The sequence below is a fragment of the Homo sapiens genome, chromosome 14, assembly GCF_000001405.40.
Source record: "Homo sapiens chromosome 14, GRCh38.p14 Primary Assembly".
Taxonomy (NCBI): Eukaryota; Metazoa; Chordata; class Mammalia; order Primates; family Hominidae; genus Homo; species Homo sapiens.
The window spans coordinates 56,835,779-56,850,824 of NC_000014.9; the positions used below are offsets into that span (position 1 = coordinate 56,835,779).

Here is a 15,046-nt window from a genome sequence, read left to right on the forward strand (position 1 = left end):
ATTATGAAATTAAACTGATACATTTAGTTTTTTTCCCCAATAATAATTATTGTGGATGCTACATAGAAATAACACAATAGTACATATTTTGAACAGAGTTGAGACCACTGTAGCATTCCAATTGGTGGATTTTCTTTTTCTTTTTAGAAGTTCATGAAGAAACGAAAAAAAAATCTGCTTTGGTCTGAAATATGAGACATGAAATCTCAGTTGAGGAGTATAATTTGGAATTATTTAAACATTTTTCAAATGTCTTCTGAACCCTAACAAATTTCAAATTGACAAACAATAAAATTAACTAGGATTTTGTTATTTCCCATCACCTCTTTCAGTAAGTAAGAAACAAAGATGGTCTACTTTTTCACTGTATTGGGCAAGCTGTAGGCATTTTAGCAAATAAGAAAAAAAAAAGACATGGTGATTTAGGATTTTTAAATTTAATTGATGGGCTATAATTATTTAATTTAATTAATTAATTTATTTATTTTTGAGACAGAGTCTTTCTCTGTTGCCCAGGGTGGAGTGCAGTGGCGCAATCTCGGCTCACTGCAACCTCCACCTCCCAGGTTCAAGCTATTCTCATGCCTCAGCCTCCAAAGTAGCTGGGACTACAGGCACACACCACCATGCCCAGCTAATTTTTGTGTTTTTAGTAGAGACGGGGTTTCGCCAGGTTGGCCAGGCTGGTCTTGAACTCCTGACCTCGTGATCCACCACTGCCCCCACCGGCCTCCCAAAGTGCCGGAATTACAGACGTGAGCCACCGTGCCCAGCCAATAATGTTAAATAAAAACATTTAAAATAAATCATCTGTAATTCCATGTCTGATAGGGTAGGCAAGGCTGCAGGAACAAAGACACCCAAACAAGTCATGGCTCAGGACAATGGAAGTTTAGTTCTTGCTCGTGTTAGAGTCCTGGGAATATAAACAGAATCGCCAGCAGCTCTCCTTTACACACTCATTTAGGGTACCAGGCTGACAGAGACTTTGCCGTCTTCAAATTATGGCTTCTATAGTCACTATGGTTATTTCCATCACAGCCAGGTGGAAGGGAGAAAGAGTACAGAGGAGTGAGAATGGGAGGGCATTATGGGCCAGGCCTGGGAGTGGCACACAAGACTTCTGTTCCCATTCCATGTGGCTGGAACTTAGTCACATGTCCACCTAACTGCAAATGTATTCTAGCTCTGTGCCTAAGAAAAAGGGTATATAGATTTTGGTCAGTAGCCAATAGCCTCTGCCACAGTCTAGCACCCTCCCGGCCTAGCAGAGTGTGTGATATATAGTATTCCATTATCATTTGTTGAATTGAGTATGTATATACTGCTTTCCAAAAACATGTATGTTTCTATGACGACACAATAGGATAGTCATGCTATTTCCTGTTTTGCTACTGTGACTTCATAGTTTATTACTTGTTTAGGTAGTTACTTATGTCCCAATTTGTTATAAAAAGAATTAAAGATACAATAATGTGGCAACATAAAATAACTTGTTATTAACTAATAAATATTTTTCTATGCTTCTGAATAGGCTTAATAATTGCAATGCTACAATTAAATTTATTAAGGCTTATTCCAAATGTTGACATATTTTTGCTTTTATACATATGATTTTTTCTTTTCTTTTCTTTTTTTTTGAGATGGAGTCTCGCTCTGTCGCCCAGGCTGGAGTGCAGTGGCACTATCTCTGCTCACTGCAAGCTCCGCCTCCTGGGTTCACGCCATTCTCCCACCTCAACCTCCCGAATAGCTGAGACTACAAGCGCCCGCTACCACACCCGGCTAATTTTTTATATTTTTAGTAGAGACAGGGTTTCACCATTCGCAGGATGGTCTCTATCTCCTGACCTTGTGATCTGCCCAACTCGGCCTCCCAAAGTGCTGGGATTACAGGCGTGAGCCACTGTGCCCGGCTACACATATGATTTAACATAACTGTAAAGGGATTATTTTTGTGCACATATATATTTATGTTGGTTGAAGTAGTTGCTTACAATAAATACTAGAAGTGAAAATATCAGATCAAAAGAAATAAACATTTTCATGATTTTTGTGAGGTATTTACAGTATTGGCAGAAATGAGTGCAAAGTTCAGTGAGGCCGCAACCTCATTAGTCTGAATGGCATTTGAAACGCATTTCAATGCCTAAAATGTGCAAAAATGATACCAATTGTTTTAATTTCTATTTCTTTGATTGTTAGTGAAATTTCCTTACTACTTTTCCCCTCTTTGGGGAAGTAATTCTTATCTCTTTAGATTTGATGACTTATTGAGTGCTATCATTAAACATGCTACTTGGAAATAAAATTTATTTTTAAAATTTTGCCAGGGCACGGGAAGTGGAAAAAATGGGGAGATGTTGGTCAAAAGGTATGAACTTTGAGTAATAAGATTAATAAGTATCTAATTTACAGTGTAATGACTATAATTAATGCTGTATTGTATACCTGAAATGTTCTAAGAGAGTAGATCTTAAGTGTTCTCACCCCACACCCCACCACACAATGGTAACTATGTGTGGTGATGGACGTGTCAACTAATTTGATTGTGGCAATCATTTTACAATGAATATGAATATCAAACCATCAGGTTGTACAGCTTGAATATATACAATTTTTATTTGTCAGTTATACCTCAATAAAGCTGGAAAATAATTTGTTTTAAATGGGATATAAATAATGTCTGTACGTTTTGCTTGGTTGGGAAACAAAAAAACACTAGTTAATTGGGAGCCCTTTTTTCTTTTTCTTTTTCTTTTTTTTTCTTTTTTTTTTTTTTTTTTGAGACACTCTTGTTGCCCAGGCTGGAGTACAATGGTACGATCTCAGCTCACTGCAACCTCTGCCTCCTGGGTTCAAGCAATTCTCCTGCCTCAGCCTCCCGAGTAGCTGGGATTATAGGCGCGCCACCACGCCCGGCTAATTTTGTATTTTTAGTAGAGACGGGGTTTCTCCATGTTGGTCAGGCTGATCTCAAACTCCCGACCTCAGGTGATCCGCCCGCCTCAGCCTCCCAAAGTGTTAGGATTACAGATGTGAGCCACTGCACCTGGCAAGAAGCTCTTCCTCTTAATTTTATGTTATTAAGAATCTATGGCTCTATGATTCATAGATACTAGCTGTATGTGACTAATATTTCTTAGTTTTAGGAACTTTGTACAAAAGATTAAACAATAATGTGTTGTTATTTTTTAAGAATATTTCAAATATCAGAAGATACAGAAAAAAATAGTGGGAAAAGTGAAAAAACCAATAAAAATAACAAGAGAAAGCCCTGGGTTCATGGTAAAGTTGAGAATTAAACTGAATTACAGCGGGAAACAGAAGTAAAGAAGAGGCAGAAACACGAAGTAACATGGGAGAAAGATGAATAGTTTTGGTCCTATACTTATAATAAATGAGGATGTGAATTATTATATAGTGATTTTCATCTCTTAAGTAGACATACATTCCACTAGAATGCAAGCTCTGTGGTGACAGTAATCTTGCCTGTTCTTGACTGTATTCCCAGCACTTAGAAGGGTGCCCATTATAGTGGTGGGCGTTTAATGATAATTTATTAAAATAGATTTGTAAGCCAAATAATTTCCAAATGGGAAAAATATACACCTTGAAATCTCATTGGAAAGGTGGCAAAAAAATAATACAAGATGGTACAGTGACCAGTGATTGTTTGATTCAAACACTGTATTAGGTCCATGCAAGTACTGTAACCACCTGGTTACAAACGGCTCACAGCCTTTTAAGTTGAGTGGCCATACCAAAAGAAGCCTTGGAAGGGGAGGGAGAATTTCACCCCACTATAATCTCAATGCCATCTCTTCTTCAAATAAGTGTGCTCTAATAAGGAGAACTGATGCTTTTATTAGTCTTAAAATATGAATAAGGCCGGGCGCGGTGGTTCACGCCTATAATCCCAGCTCTTTGGGAAGCTGAGGAGGGTGGATCAGGAGGTCAGGAGATCAAGATCAGCCTGGCCAAGATGGTGAAACCCCATCTCTACTAAAAATACAAAAATTAGCCAGGCATGGAGGTGTGCGCCTGTAGTCCCACCTACTCGGGAGGTTGAGGCAGGAGAATCGCTTGAACCTGGGAGACGGAGGTTGCAGTGAGTCGAATTCATACCACTGCACTCCAGCCTGGGTGACAGAGCAAGACTCTGCCAAAAAAAAAACAAGAAAAAAAAAACAAGAATAAAGGCATCTTTACAAGACTTTATTCTCTCATGATTTTAAACACACAGTCTAAATAAAAAGAAAACCCTTATTTTAATAAGGAGTAATGATAATTCCCTTATACTTTTCTCCTTCCACTCTGATTGCTCTTTCTGGATAGAATTCTGGAACTGCCATTGTGTAAGACAAAGAAAATAATGACATGAATAACTATTATACAAGGTTGGAAATGTTAAGGGCCCTAAGAAATGTTTAGGTAAAGTATTATGAGGGTTTGGGAAAAGGAATGATCATCCCTTCTATCAGTCAGCATCTTTGGTTGCAAACAATAGAAACTCGTAGTGGCTAATTTTACAAAGAACTTCAATGGACGGGTAAGGAGTTCTTCGTGAAATTAAACTGTAGGTCAAAGAACCCAACACTTGCAAGAACTAGAGTAGGGCAGCTACAGGGATCCACAGGTAGGAGTCATTGCTGGCCTCTTCGGGGCATCAGTGAGCTCCAGCCACTTTCTATGCTCACAAAACGAGTCAAGAGTCAAATTGCAGTGAGAGACAGAGAGAGAGAGAGAGTCCTAGCAAGTGCACAAGTACAATTCTGATTGGCCTAGCGAATCTCATATCTCCATCCCCTCACCAGAAAGCCTGGGACATTTTGAGTTATAATTCTATCAAGACTGCATGCATCCCCAAGATTGATTGTATTCTCAAAGCAAAACCAATGCATCCTAGAAGAATCCAAATCATTCTGAAAGAATGGTGAATGAATAATGTCAGGCAAGAAAAAAGCCATTGGTGTCCACAATACTTATTGGGCTTGGGATAGAGGAGTCAGAGAAACCATCATGAAAGAGTTAATATTGGAATTAGGTCTTAAAAATACACAGCATTTGAATATGTAGGGATGAAGAGGAAGGGTTAGGTTTGAAGACAAGAGATCATGGTATAAACAGAGGTACAGATGATGGACCAGAGAACAAAGTCTGTCCTACAGAGGTATACAGGGAAGAGAAAATGGTTCAGTTAGGATAGAGTATAGAGTAAGAACAAGCCATGAAGAATCATGAATACTAGCCTAAAGAGTTTGGATTTTATTCTGTAAGCAACTGATGGGCTGATATTTTTGAGATGGGAGATGTAGCTATGTAATTAGATATTGGAAGTAGTTATGTAGTTTTTTAAAGGGAAGATATCTTTGGTGACAAGGGATGGAAGGGAGGAGAAGAGATTAGATGCAAGAAAACCATTTCAGACATATTGCAAAAGTTTGGCCTTGAATTACTAAGGAGCTGAATGAGTATCATGACTGTAGGAATACAGTTGAAAAGAGAGGCACAAGAAACATTATAAAGGCAACATATAGCAACAGGGCTTGCTGTCAACCAATACCATATGAAGTGAAGCTGAATGTGGGACCGAAGACTCTATCATTAAAATTCCAGGAAATATCGTGACTGAGAAACACTAACAATGTGGCCGGGCATGGTGGCTTATACCTGTAATCCCAACACTTTGGGAGGCCAAAGTGTGCCGATCACTTGAGGACAGGAGTTCCAGACCAGCCTGGCCAACATAGCGAAACCCCAACTCTACTAAAAAATACAAAAAATTAGCCGAGTGTGGTGGCACCTGCCTGTCATCCTAGCTACTTGGGAGGCTGAGGCATGACAATCGCTTGAACCTGGGAGTGGGAGATTGCAGTGAGCCGAGATCACATCACTGCACTCCAGCCTGGGCAACAGAGTGAGACAACAACAACAAACAAACAAACAAAACAACTAGCAATGCAATTCAGCCACTGTTGCATTCCAAGTTCTTTATCAGTTAATCAAATATTCTTCATGATTACAATCAAGCTATTTGAAAAAAATTCTTAAATGCATGAATACGATCCTATAGCTTGAAACTTCAAAGTGAAGGGAACCAATTCTGACAATATATATCTACCTTTCATTAAAAACAACAGGAAAGACACTCCAGGACTGGATTGGCAAACTTCTTCTGTAAAAGGTCATATGGTAAACATTTTAGGCTTTCTGGGCCATACAGTCTCTGCTGTAGTTACTCAACTGCATGAAAGCAGCTGTGAATAATATTTAAATGAATGAATGTGGTTGTGTTCCAATAAAACTTCATCTGTGGACACTGCAATTTGAATTTTATATAATTTTCATATGCTGTGAAATATTCTTTTGTTTTTTTCCTACCATTACAAAATATAAAAACTATTCTTGGCTCATAGGCCATGAAAAAAGAGAAAGTGGGCTGGACTTGTCACTTACTGTTAGTGTCATTGTCCACTACGACAGCACTGGAAATCAGGACCAACCTATCTTTCATGAGTCAATAATAATATGAACCTATTCTGAAAGTAGTAGTTGAACTAAGAGAAGGAAAATATGAGAACAGATTAATATCTCAATAATTTATTCTGTTCTACTTGTTTTTGTTTCAAATGAATGGAGTTCTTTTTAAACTTTCTTTCCTAATGTAGCAAGTTTTTTTTTTTTTTTTTTTTTACTTTCCTTTCTAATGTAGCAAGTTTCTTTTTTTTTTTTTAAACTTTCCTTTCTAATGATGTCTGTATTGTTAAAATACAGGTTAGGCTACAGTAACAGAGGCATTCTAAAATACAATGGTTTGAACAGGATAGAAATTTATTTATCTCTCAAGTAACAGTTTGAGTATAAGTAGTCTGAGGCTTGCAGGTAGGCTTGGGGGTGTCAGAGGTGCAAGCTGCTTCTGTCTTTTGCTCCATCATCCTCAACCCACAACTCTGAACTCAAAGTCATGATGGCTGCTCCGGCACCTACCATCACATTTGCATCCCAACCAGCGGTAAGAGGAGAAAGAAGCAGCAAAGGCCACACTCCTTTCCTTCAAGTGCCAGCTTGGAAGTTGTATATATTACTTCTGTTCATATTTCGTTGGTCAGAAGTTAGCGATGTACCTACATCTAGCTGCAGAGGAGGTAGGGGTTTGGAAATATAATCTTCATCTGGGAAGCCATGTACCCAACTAAAATGGGGGCGTCTATCCTTTTCTTTCTTTTTTTTTTTTTTAGACGGAGTCTCGCTCTGTCGCCCAGGCTGGAGTGCAGTGGCACAATCTCGGCTCACTGCAAGCTCCGCCTCCCGGGTTCACGCCATTCTCCTGCCTCAGCCTCCCTCAGCTGGGACTACAGGCGCCCGCCACCACACCCGGCTAATTTTTTGTATTTTTAGTAGAGACGGGGTTTCACCGTGTTAGCCAGGATTGTCTCGATCTCCTGACCTCGTGATCCGCCCGCCTCGGCCTCCCAAAGTGCTGGGATTACAGGCGTGAGCCACTGCGCCCGGCCATGGGGGCGTCTATCCTTAAAGAGATGGATAGAATAGATATTGTTAAAAATCGGAAGACAGTAGGTGATCTCTGCCAAGCGTCGCATATTACTAAACAATTTCTATACTCTATACAGAGATCATTTTAATTGCTTCAATCGGGGGAAAGAAGTTATTCAAAATATGTTTAATGATTACCTTAAATCCTAAAAATCAGAAGGAGTTATTCTGGTGGCAGCCTCTTTTCCAAGGCTTTTACCTTGGAAAAGGTAAAAGCTTCCATAAAATCAGAAATTTATTCAGCAAATATCTTTGAGCACCTATTGTGCCAGGCATTTTTCAAGGCAAATAAATGTCCCCGTTTCCCACACCACAAACAACGTTTACTCTAACACATCATCTTTGTTGAAGACATTACCTTGATTGTGTAGTAAAGGCTCCTAAAAGCATGGGGAATGAAAGATGGGAGTCCTGGTGTTAGACTACAAAGTGAGGGGTGCTTTGAGGTGGTGAGGGGCAGGGGTTGGGAGTGGTCTCCAGCCCTTCAAACTCTCCATTAGCCCTACAATTTCACCCCCAGTAAACATGGACTCCAAACAACAGACTGTTTTCTGTGTAAACATATATATATGTTGTTTTTTTTTTGAGACAGAGTCTTCCTCTGTTGCCCAGGCTGGAGTGCGGTGGCACCATCTCGGCTCACTGCAACCTCCGCCTCCTGGGTTCAAGCGATTCTCCTGCCTCAGCCACCCAAGTAGCTGGGACCGCAGGTGTGCGCCACCACACCAGGGCAATTTTTGCATTTTTAGTAAAGACAGGATTTCGCCATGCTGGCCAGGCTGATCTCGAACGCCTAACTTCAAGTTATCCGCCCGCCTCTGCCTCCCAAAGCGCTGGGATTATAGGCGTGAGTGACAGCGCCCAGTCGTGCAAACATAATTTCAAGAGAAGTTCTCTGTCTCCCTTTTCTCCCAGATTGCACCTATTCGTTTTAGAAATTCTAGACCCCTCCTGGTGGGGGGATTGGGACTGATATTTAGGTAGCTCGCTCCCAATGTTCCCAATGGGAAAATAACAGCGGATCCTCAAATAAGAGCCTACCTGCATGTGCTTGCATCTTTCCCAAGTTGTATTCTCTAAAAAGAAAGAAAAGCAAGCTGGCAAACACTAAGCACTCCACTGGCATGACTTCAGAATGCTTGTGATTAAGATATTCTGCTTATTGTTAGTCAAAGATCTAGGCCTGCCTTGCTCCACATAAATAGAAGCTCCGTTTCTCAGCTGCCTGCGCGCATCCTCTTACATGTCCTTAGGGTGCTAGAACAGCAGGACTTCTCTAAATGGTTCTTAGACTCGAAGAACATGAAAAGAAGCAGTGAAGGGCTCCTGAAAGCATTTACATTGACAAGTAATATGTATCGACAGTACCTTTTTCCTTTTCCTGCTATAAAGTGAAAGTCTTTGTGTGCCGCTTTCCGTTGTTAACTCCAAGGGTAATTGAGGCGGCAGCAGCGTGGCCAGCAGGAGGAGTTGGCTGAAATTAATTAAGTGAGGCGGTTTGGACTGCACCGTCCTCACTCCCCGGCCACTCCCTTGTACTTTAACTGGTTGGGATTCAAGGGGCATGGAGCAGGAGGGAAGAGTGACGGGGCCATGCAACGTAGAAAGAACCAGAAGTATTTGTTTGGAGTTCGGTCATTTGTTTCAGGTGGTTGGAAAAGCCACGGATTTAAAGAAAAAGCCCCTTTGGTTTCTATAGCATGAGTCAAAGCAATTAAGTACCAATAACAGCTAACACTTATTGAACCCCTTTTATATGCCAGACACTGGTTTTTGTTGTTGTTGTTGTTGTTTGTTTGTTTGTTTGTTTGTTTTTAGATAGAGTCTCACTTTGTCACTCACCCATGCTGGAGTGCAGTGGTGCGATCTCGGCTTACTGTAGCCTCGACCTCCTGGGCTCAGGTGATCCTCTGCCTCAGCCTCCCAAGTAGCTGGGATTATAGGTGCATGCCACCATGCTCAACTAAATTTTTTTGTATTTTTTGTAGAGACAGGGTTTCTCTATGTTGCCCAGGCTGGTCTCAAACTCCTGGACTCAAGTGATCTGCCTGCCTTGGCCTCTCAATGTGCTAGGATTACAGGCTTGATCCACTGCTCCCGGCCCAGACACTGTTCTAAGAGCTTTATATATCATTATCTTATTTGATTCCAATAACTCTCTGTGGTAGGTGCTCTTATTGTTTCCATCTTTCAGCTAATGAAACTGAGGCTGGAAGAGGTTAAGGTTTTCAGCAGCAGGCCCAGAATTCTATCGTTGGCAGTCTGACTCCAGAGAAGGAAGCCATCCACTGTGCAGGGCAGTGATGCCTCAGAGATAGTCGAATGCCTGATTGTTATTTCCCTCTAGATTTACATCCTTGATTTTTGTGCCAGATGAGGGTATAGATTTGTATGTCTTAGTTGAAGAGGAAATAAAGTTAAATCATAAAGAAGAAAATGCTAGAAAAGTATGATGTTCGAAAAACTGCAAAGAGTTTGTGCCTTTTTTTCCCCCAACTGGCTGCTAACACATTTCTTGCTGTAGAGAAGTACATACAGTACAACAGTACTAGATTCTATATAAAGCAATTTATTATTTTTTGAAAAGTGATAATGGCCTTGTTTTCATCTTAAGAGTTGAGAGTGGCAAAAGACTGATAGCACCCTCAGAAGCATGCACTCAGCAAGATTCCCTAAATAGTTCTTTCCTCTCCAGTCCTGACCAAGTAACCTCTGGGCCATTCTATTCCCGGGAATCTCCTGTATAGGGCCCTGAAGAGTATGCTGATGCCTGCAACATCCTTTTAGGGTTTGAAGACCTGTAGACAAATGGCTCCTGGGGACAGGGAACATATCAAAACATAATCCTCACTCATAACAGAATTGAGTTTGGTTTGAACCCAGCAATCAAGGAATGAAAGGTGAGTGCATTAACCTACCATGTTATCTGTATAGGAGTTTTATATCTTAAATGGAACAGACATCCCTGCAAAACAATAATGGACTGAGATTAATGAGTTACAGGTGACCCTCAGACACGGGAAGGTTGACTTTGGATAAGCACCCACAAAGGTCAAGTGCTTATCTGAATTAACCACAAGTCTTGGATCTGGGGTAAAAATAAAGGACGAGAAATACCCCAGGGAGAGGCTTTCTTTAACCTGAGTTTTGTGTTCTTTCTTACCTTCTGCTAAATTCTGCATTGGATTGGACAAGCCCTTTTCTTGTGCCGTTTCCACACACATCTCTGGCCTACACTAGATCTTAGCATTGTGGAAACAGCATGAAAACCCAGAGCAATGCTTTTCAGACATCCAGGGTCTCAGGATGTATGTTGTAGATCAAATATTTTTGTTAACATAGCATTGGGTCTTTTTGACAGAGAGTTTATGACAGCAGGATGGAATCTTTGTAACTATAGTCACTTTTGCCTGGTACTGACGGGAGGATTTGCATATGTCTCATCGTACAGTACAAATATGGAGGGGTAACGATGACTTTCTCTATTGATTACTCTTGCCCTTAGGCTAGTTTTAATGTTTCCATTTAAGACAATAACTCATCCCCAGAGCAGTGCTGTATTTTGGGTTATTGAAAAACACACCTGACCACCTACCTCCATTAAATGGAGTTATATAGCAACCTAGTGTATTCTCTGGAGAGAGTATCTGCTGGGCCCTATCTTAGGAGACGAGAGGGAACAGATTGGTAGAGACTGGGGATGGAGTTGAGGGGGCTAGGGACAGACCTAGATCAGCCTTTAGAAGTTCAGTGTAGAAGGTGGAGTGTTCCCTTGGCAAGGTGAGCAGACACTCACTTAAATACAAAACACCAGGGAGTCTCCACTGCCAGATAGAATCCTGGTCCAGGTGTGTTGTCAATAATAGAGAGACACAATGAGACAACCCTCATCCACCCGCCCCTGCCAGAACTTGGAAATAAGGGAAATAAGACACCTACCGAGAGCAAAACTTTAAAAACAACGTGAACTAAAACAGAGCATAGATATGCAAAGTTTTCTTAGGGCCCTAAGAAACCTCATCAAATTCGTTAACACATGCAAAGAAAGAATGTGTTAATCAGAAGGGGGTTGGTGAACCCTGGGAGGTAGGGGGAAAAAAAAGAGCCCGTAAATCAAAGGCAGTGGAGCTGGTCCAGGCTTGTCCCTGGAAGGCCAGATCTGGCCAAAGTGTTTCAGACTGGGTTAAGCATCCACTAAACATTTACCCAACAAATCGGTATGGAGTGCCTACAATGAGTCAGGCATATATCAGACTCTGGGAAAAAGTGCCAAGCCTGGAGATGACCTCTAGAGGTTGAAGACTGACCTGAGCCAGGCACAAACTGGAAGGAGAACACACCAACATAATGAAGGAAACTTGAGACTGAGAACTTGCGGGTCTCAGGAGGAGATTTGCCTGAGGAAGTAATACTAGATCTGAGAGACAAGGGCGTGTGGGAGTGAAACGGTGCAAAGAGGTGGGTATAAGGACAGTAACTTGAACAGAGCAGCATCTGCTCAGGCAACCAGGCTGGAAAGATCTTGGTTTGCAGCCTATCTGGGGGATGGAAAGAAGGCAGGCGTGACTGGACCCACAGTGGTTTTCAAGAATAACAGATAATATTTATTGAGTTTTTGGTAGTTGCCAGACATGGTTGAAAGAAGTTTACTCTTTTAATTTTCATTATAATCCTATGAGATAAGCACTATCTTTATTCCTATTTTATTAAGGAAGAAACTATTGCACAATATAAGTAAAGAAATCACCTGAGCTGGGAATGAGAGGAACAAGGATTTGAACCATTGAGGTGTGGTCCCAGAGCCCACACTGCTATCCAGTTCTTATACTGAAGACAGGGGCTGAAGTGGCCAGACCATTGTAGGACTAGTAGGTTGAGGATTTTGTCTTCTTTTAAGAACAATATACAGTTTTAGGCCAGGCACAGTGGCTCACGCCTGTAATCCCAGCACTTTGGGAGGCCAAGGCGGGTGGATCACTTGACGTCAGGAGTTTGAAATCAGCCTGGCCAACAGGGTGAAACTCTGTCTCTACTAAAAATACAAGAATTAGCTGGGCGTGGTGGCAGGCGCCTGTAATCCCAGCTACTTGGGAAGCTGAGGCAGGAGAATCGCCTGAACCCGGGAGGCAGAGGTTGCAGTGAGCAGAGATCGCGCCACTGCACTCCAGCCTGGGTGACAGAGCAAGACTCTGTCTCAAAAGAAAGAAGAAGAGGAAAAAAACAAAAAGGAAGAATATACAGTTTTAAAGGAGTGGCCTGCTAGGATGTGTGCTCCAAAAATTATCACTCTGGCTGCAATGTGGAGAAAGAGTCACTTAGCTACCATGTCTCTAAAGCCCGACTGTGATTTTTCTTCCTGTGTAAGTCTGCTGAGAAAGACAGGATGCACAGATCATATACACTTCAAGAATTTTGCTCAGCAAGTCAATTCTTGACTGCAGGGAGAGAAGATGTAGCTCGTGTGTGTGTGTGTGTGTGTGTGTGTGTGTGTGTGTGTGTGTGTTTTGTTGTTTGTTTGTTTGTTTGTTTGTTTGAGACAGAGTCTTACTCTGTCACCCAGGCTGGAGTGCAGTGGTGCAATCTTGGCTCACTGCAACCTCCACCTCCCGGGTTCAAGCTATTCTCATGCCTCAGCCTCCAAAGTAGCTGGGACTACAGGCACACACCACCATGCCCAGCTAATGTTTGTGTTTTTAGTAGAGACGGGGTTTTGCCAGGTTGGCCAGGCTGGTGTCAAACTCCTGACCTCAGGTGATCTGTCTGCCTTGGCCTCCCAAATTACTGGGATTACAGGTGTTAGCCACTGCGCCCAGCCAATCATGTGGCTTTTGAGCTTCCAGGTCTTGTAACATTTATTTCTCAATGTAAATTAACAAAATGGTACTCTGATTTGGTACATTAGACTTAGGAGAAAGATTAGGCAGTCTGCCCTAGGACGATTGATTTACTTTCTAAAAATATGAAGTTTCTGGTTTGCTATATTAAGAATTGGGCCTTTTCTAGACCACAGTAAATTCAACACAGCAATAACTTTGCCTGTGGCTGCTCAGGAGGGAGCCTGCTCTGCTGCCTTTTCCCCAAGAGTGGCAACTGACAACCCACACCACTCAATTTCTCTGGGCTGTGCACAATAACCACAAGTCATCCTTGTCTTCTTGTTCTTCCTCTTTCTCTTCATTCTCCTCCTCTTTCTCCTCTTCTTTTTTCTTCCTCCTCCTCCTCCCTACAAGGTTTTCAGAAACCTAGGCAGGTAGGCAGTACTAGGAAAGTCTGTCAGCAGTTTTCAGATACAGAGCACTTAAATGGAAACCAATAAGAACAATATAGGATCTCAGACCTCAAAGAATTGTGGTATTAGACAGGGAAAGAAGAGAGAAATTCATGTAACATAACTGGGGAGCCAGAGAGAACCTAGATTTTGGTTTCACAATAGAAGCTTAGGGTAAGAGCCATACAGACTGGAGAAGGAAATCTGGATAACACTGTAGAGATGGTATTTAAAGCTGTGGGACTGACAACATCGTCTAGGAATCAAATGTTGTTAGGGAGAAGAGGTCTGAGCCCTAAGTTCTGGATCACTCCAACTCAGAGTCAGGGAGATGAAGAAATATAGCCTAAGACACCAGAGAAAACTCAGGAGAGCACAGCATCCTGGAAGGCAAGTGAAAAAGTGTTTGGGGGGCAGAGAGAGGAGGAGAGCGCTTAGATACATGAGATGCTTAAGTACAAATAAGATGAGGACTGAGAACTGGCCAATGGATTTGTCAATGTCCTTAGTAAACTGAACACAGGACATTTTGATGGAATATTTGCTGTGGAGAGGGAAGAAGTAGTGGGGAACTGATTGAATTGGGTTCAAGAGAGAGTAAGAGGAGAAAAATTACCAGTGAATATAAACAATTTCATGGAGAAGTTTTGCTGTCAAGAGGTTCAGAGAAATGGAGCAGTAGTTGGAGGGAGATATGGCATCAAAAGATTTTTGTTTTTATTTTATTTTAATTTAAAAAGTTTTTTTTTTTTTGAGACAGGTCTTTCTCTGTCACCCCCAACTGGAGTGCAGTAGCATGATTCTGCCTCACTGCTGCAGCCTTGAACTCAAAGGCTCAAGCGATCCTCCTGCCTCTGCCTCTGGAGTAGCTGGAACTAGAGATGCACACCACTACGCCCGGCTAGTCTTTAAAAAAATTTTTTTTTTTTCTGGAGACTGAGTCTTGCTTTTTTGCCTAGGCTGGTGTTGAACTCCTGGCCTCAAGGGATCCTCCCACCTCAGCCTCCCAAAATGCTGGGATGATAAGCATGAGCCACTGTGCCCAGGCTGTTTTATTTTTATTTTTATTTTTTGAGACAGAGTTTCACTCTTGTAGCTCAGACTGGAGTGCAGTGGTGCAATCTTGGCTCACTGCAACCTCCGCCTCCCAGGTTCAAGTGATTCTCCTGCCTCAGCCTCCCAAGTAGCTGGAACTACAGGTGGGTGCCAACATGCCCGGCT

General features: G+C 41.8%; 1 long non-coding RNA gene across 2 annotated transcripts in view, besides 1 other annotated feature; it reads left to right on the forward strand.

Annotated features, from left to right (window-relative positions):
- Positions 1–15,046, forward strand: part of OTX2-AS1 (OTX2 antisense RNA 1) — a 119,303-nt gene that overhangs the window by 23,773 nt on the left and 80,484 nt on the right. The window lies entirely within an intron of this gene.
- Positions 11,213–12,178: an enhancer, noted in NCBI's record as "OCT4-NANOG-H3K27ac-H3K4me1 hESC enhancer chr14:57313709-57314674 (GRCh37/hg19 assembly coordinates)". NCBI's record gives its function as "activates a minimal SCP1, AML or CMV promoter by ChIP-STARR-seq in naive and primed H9 embryonic stem cells {active_cell/tissue: H9 hESC(naive and primed)}" and the evidence as "EXISTENCE:reporter gene assay evidence [ECO:0000049][PMID:30033119]".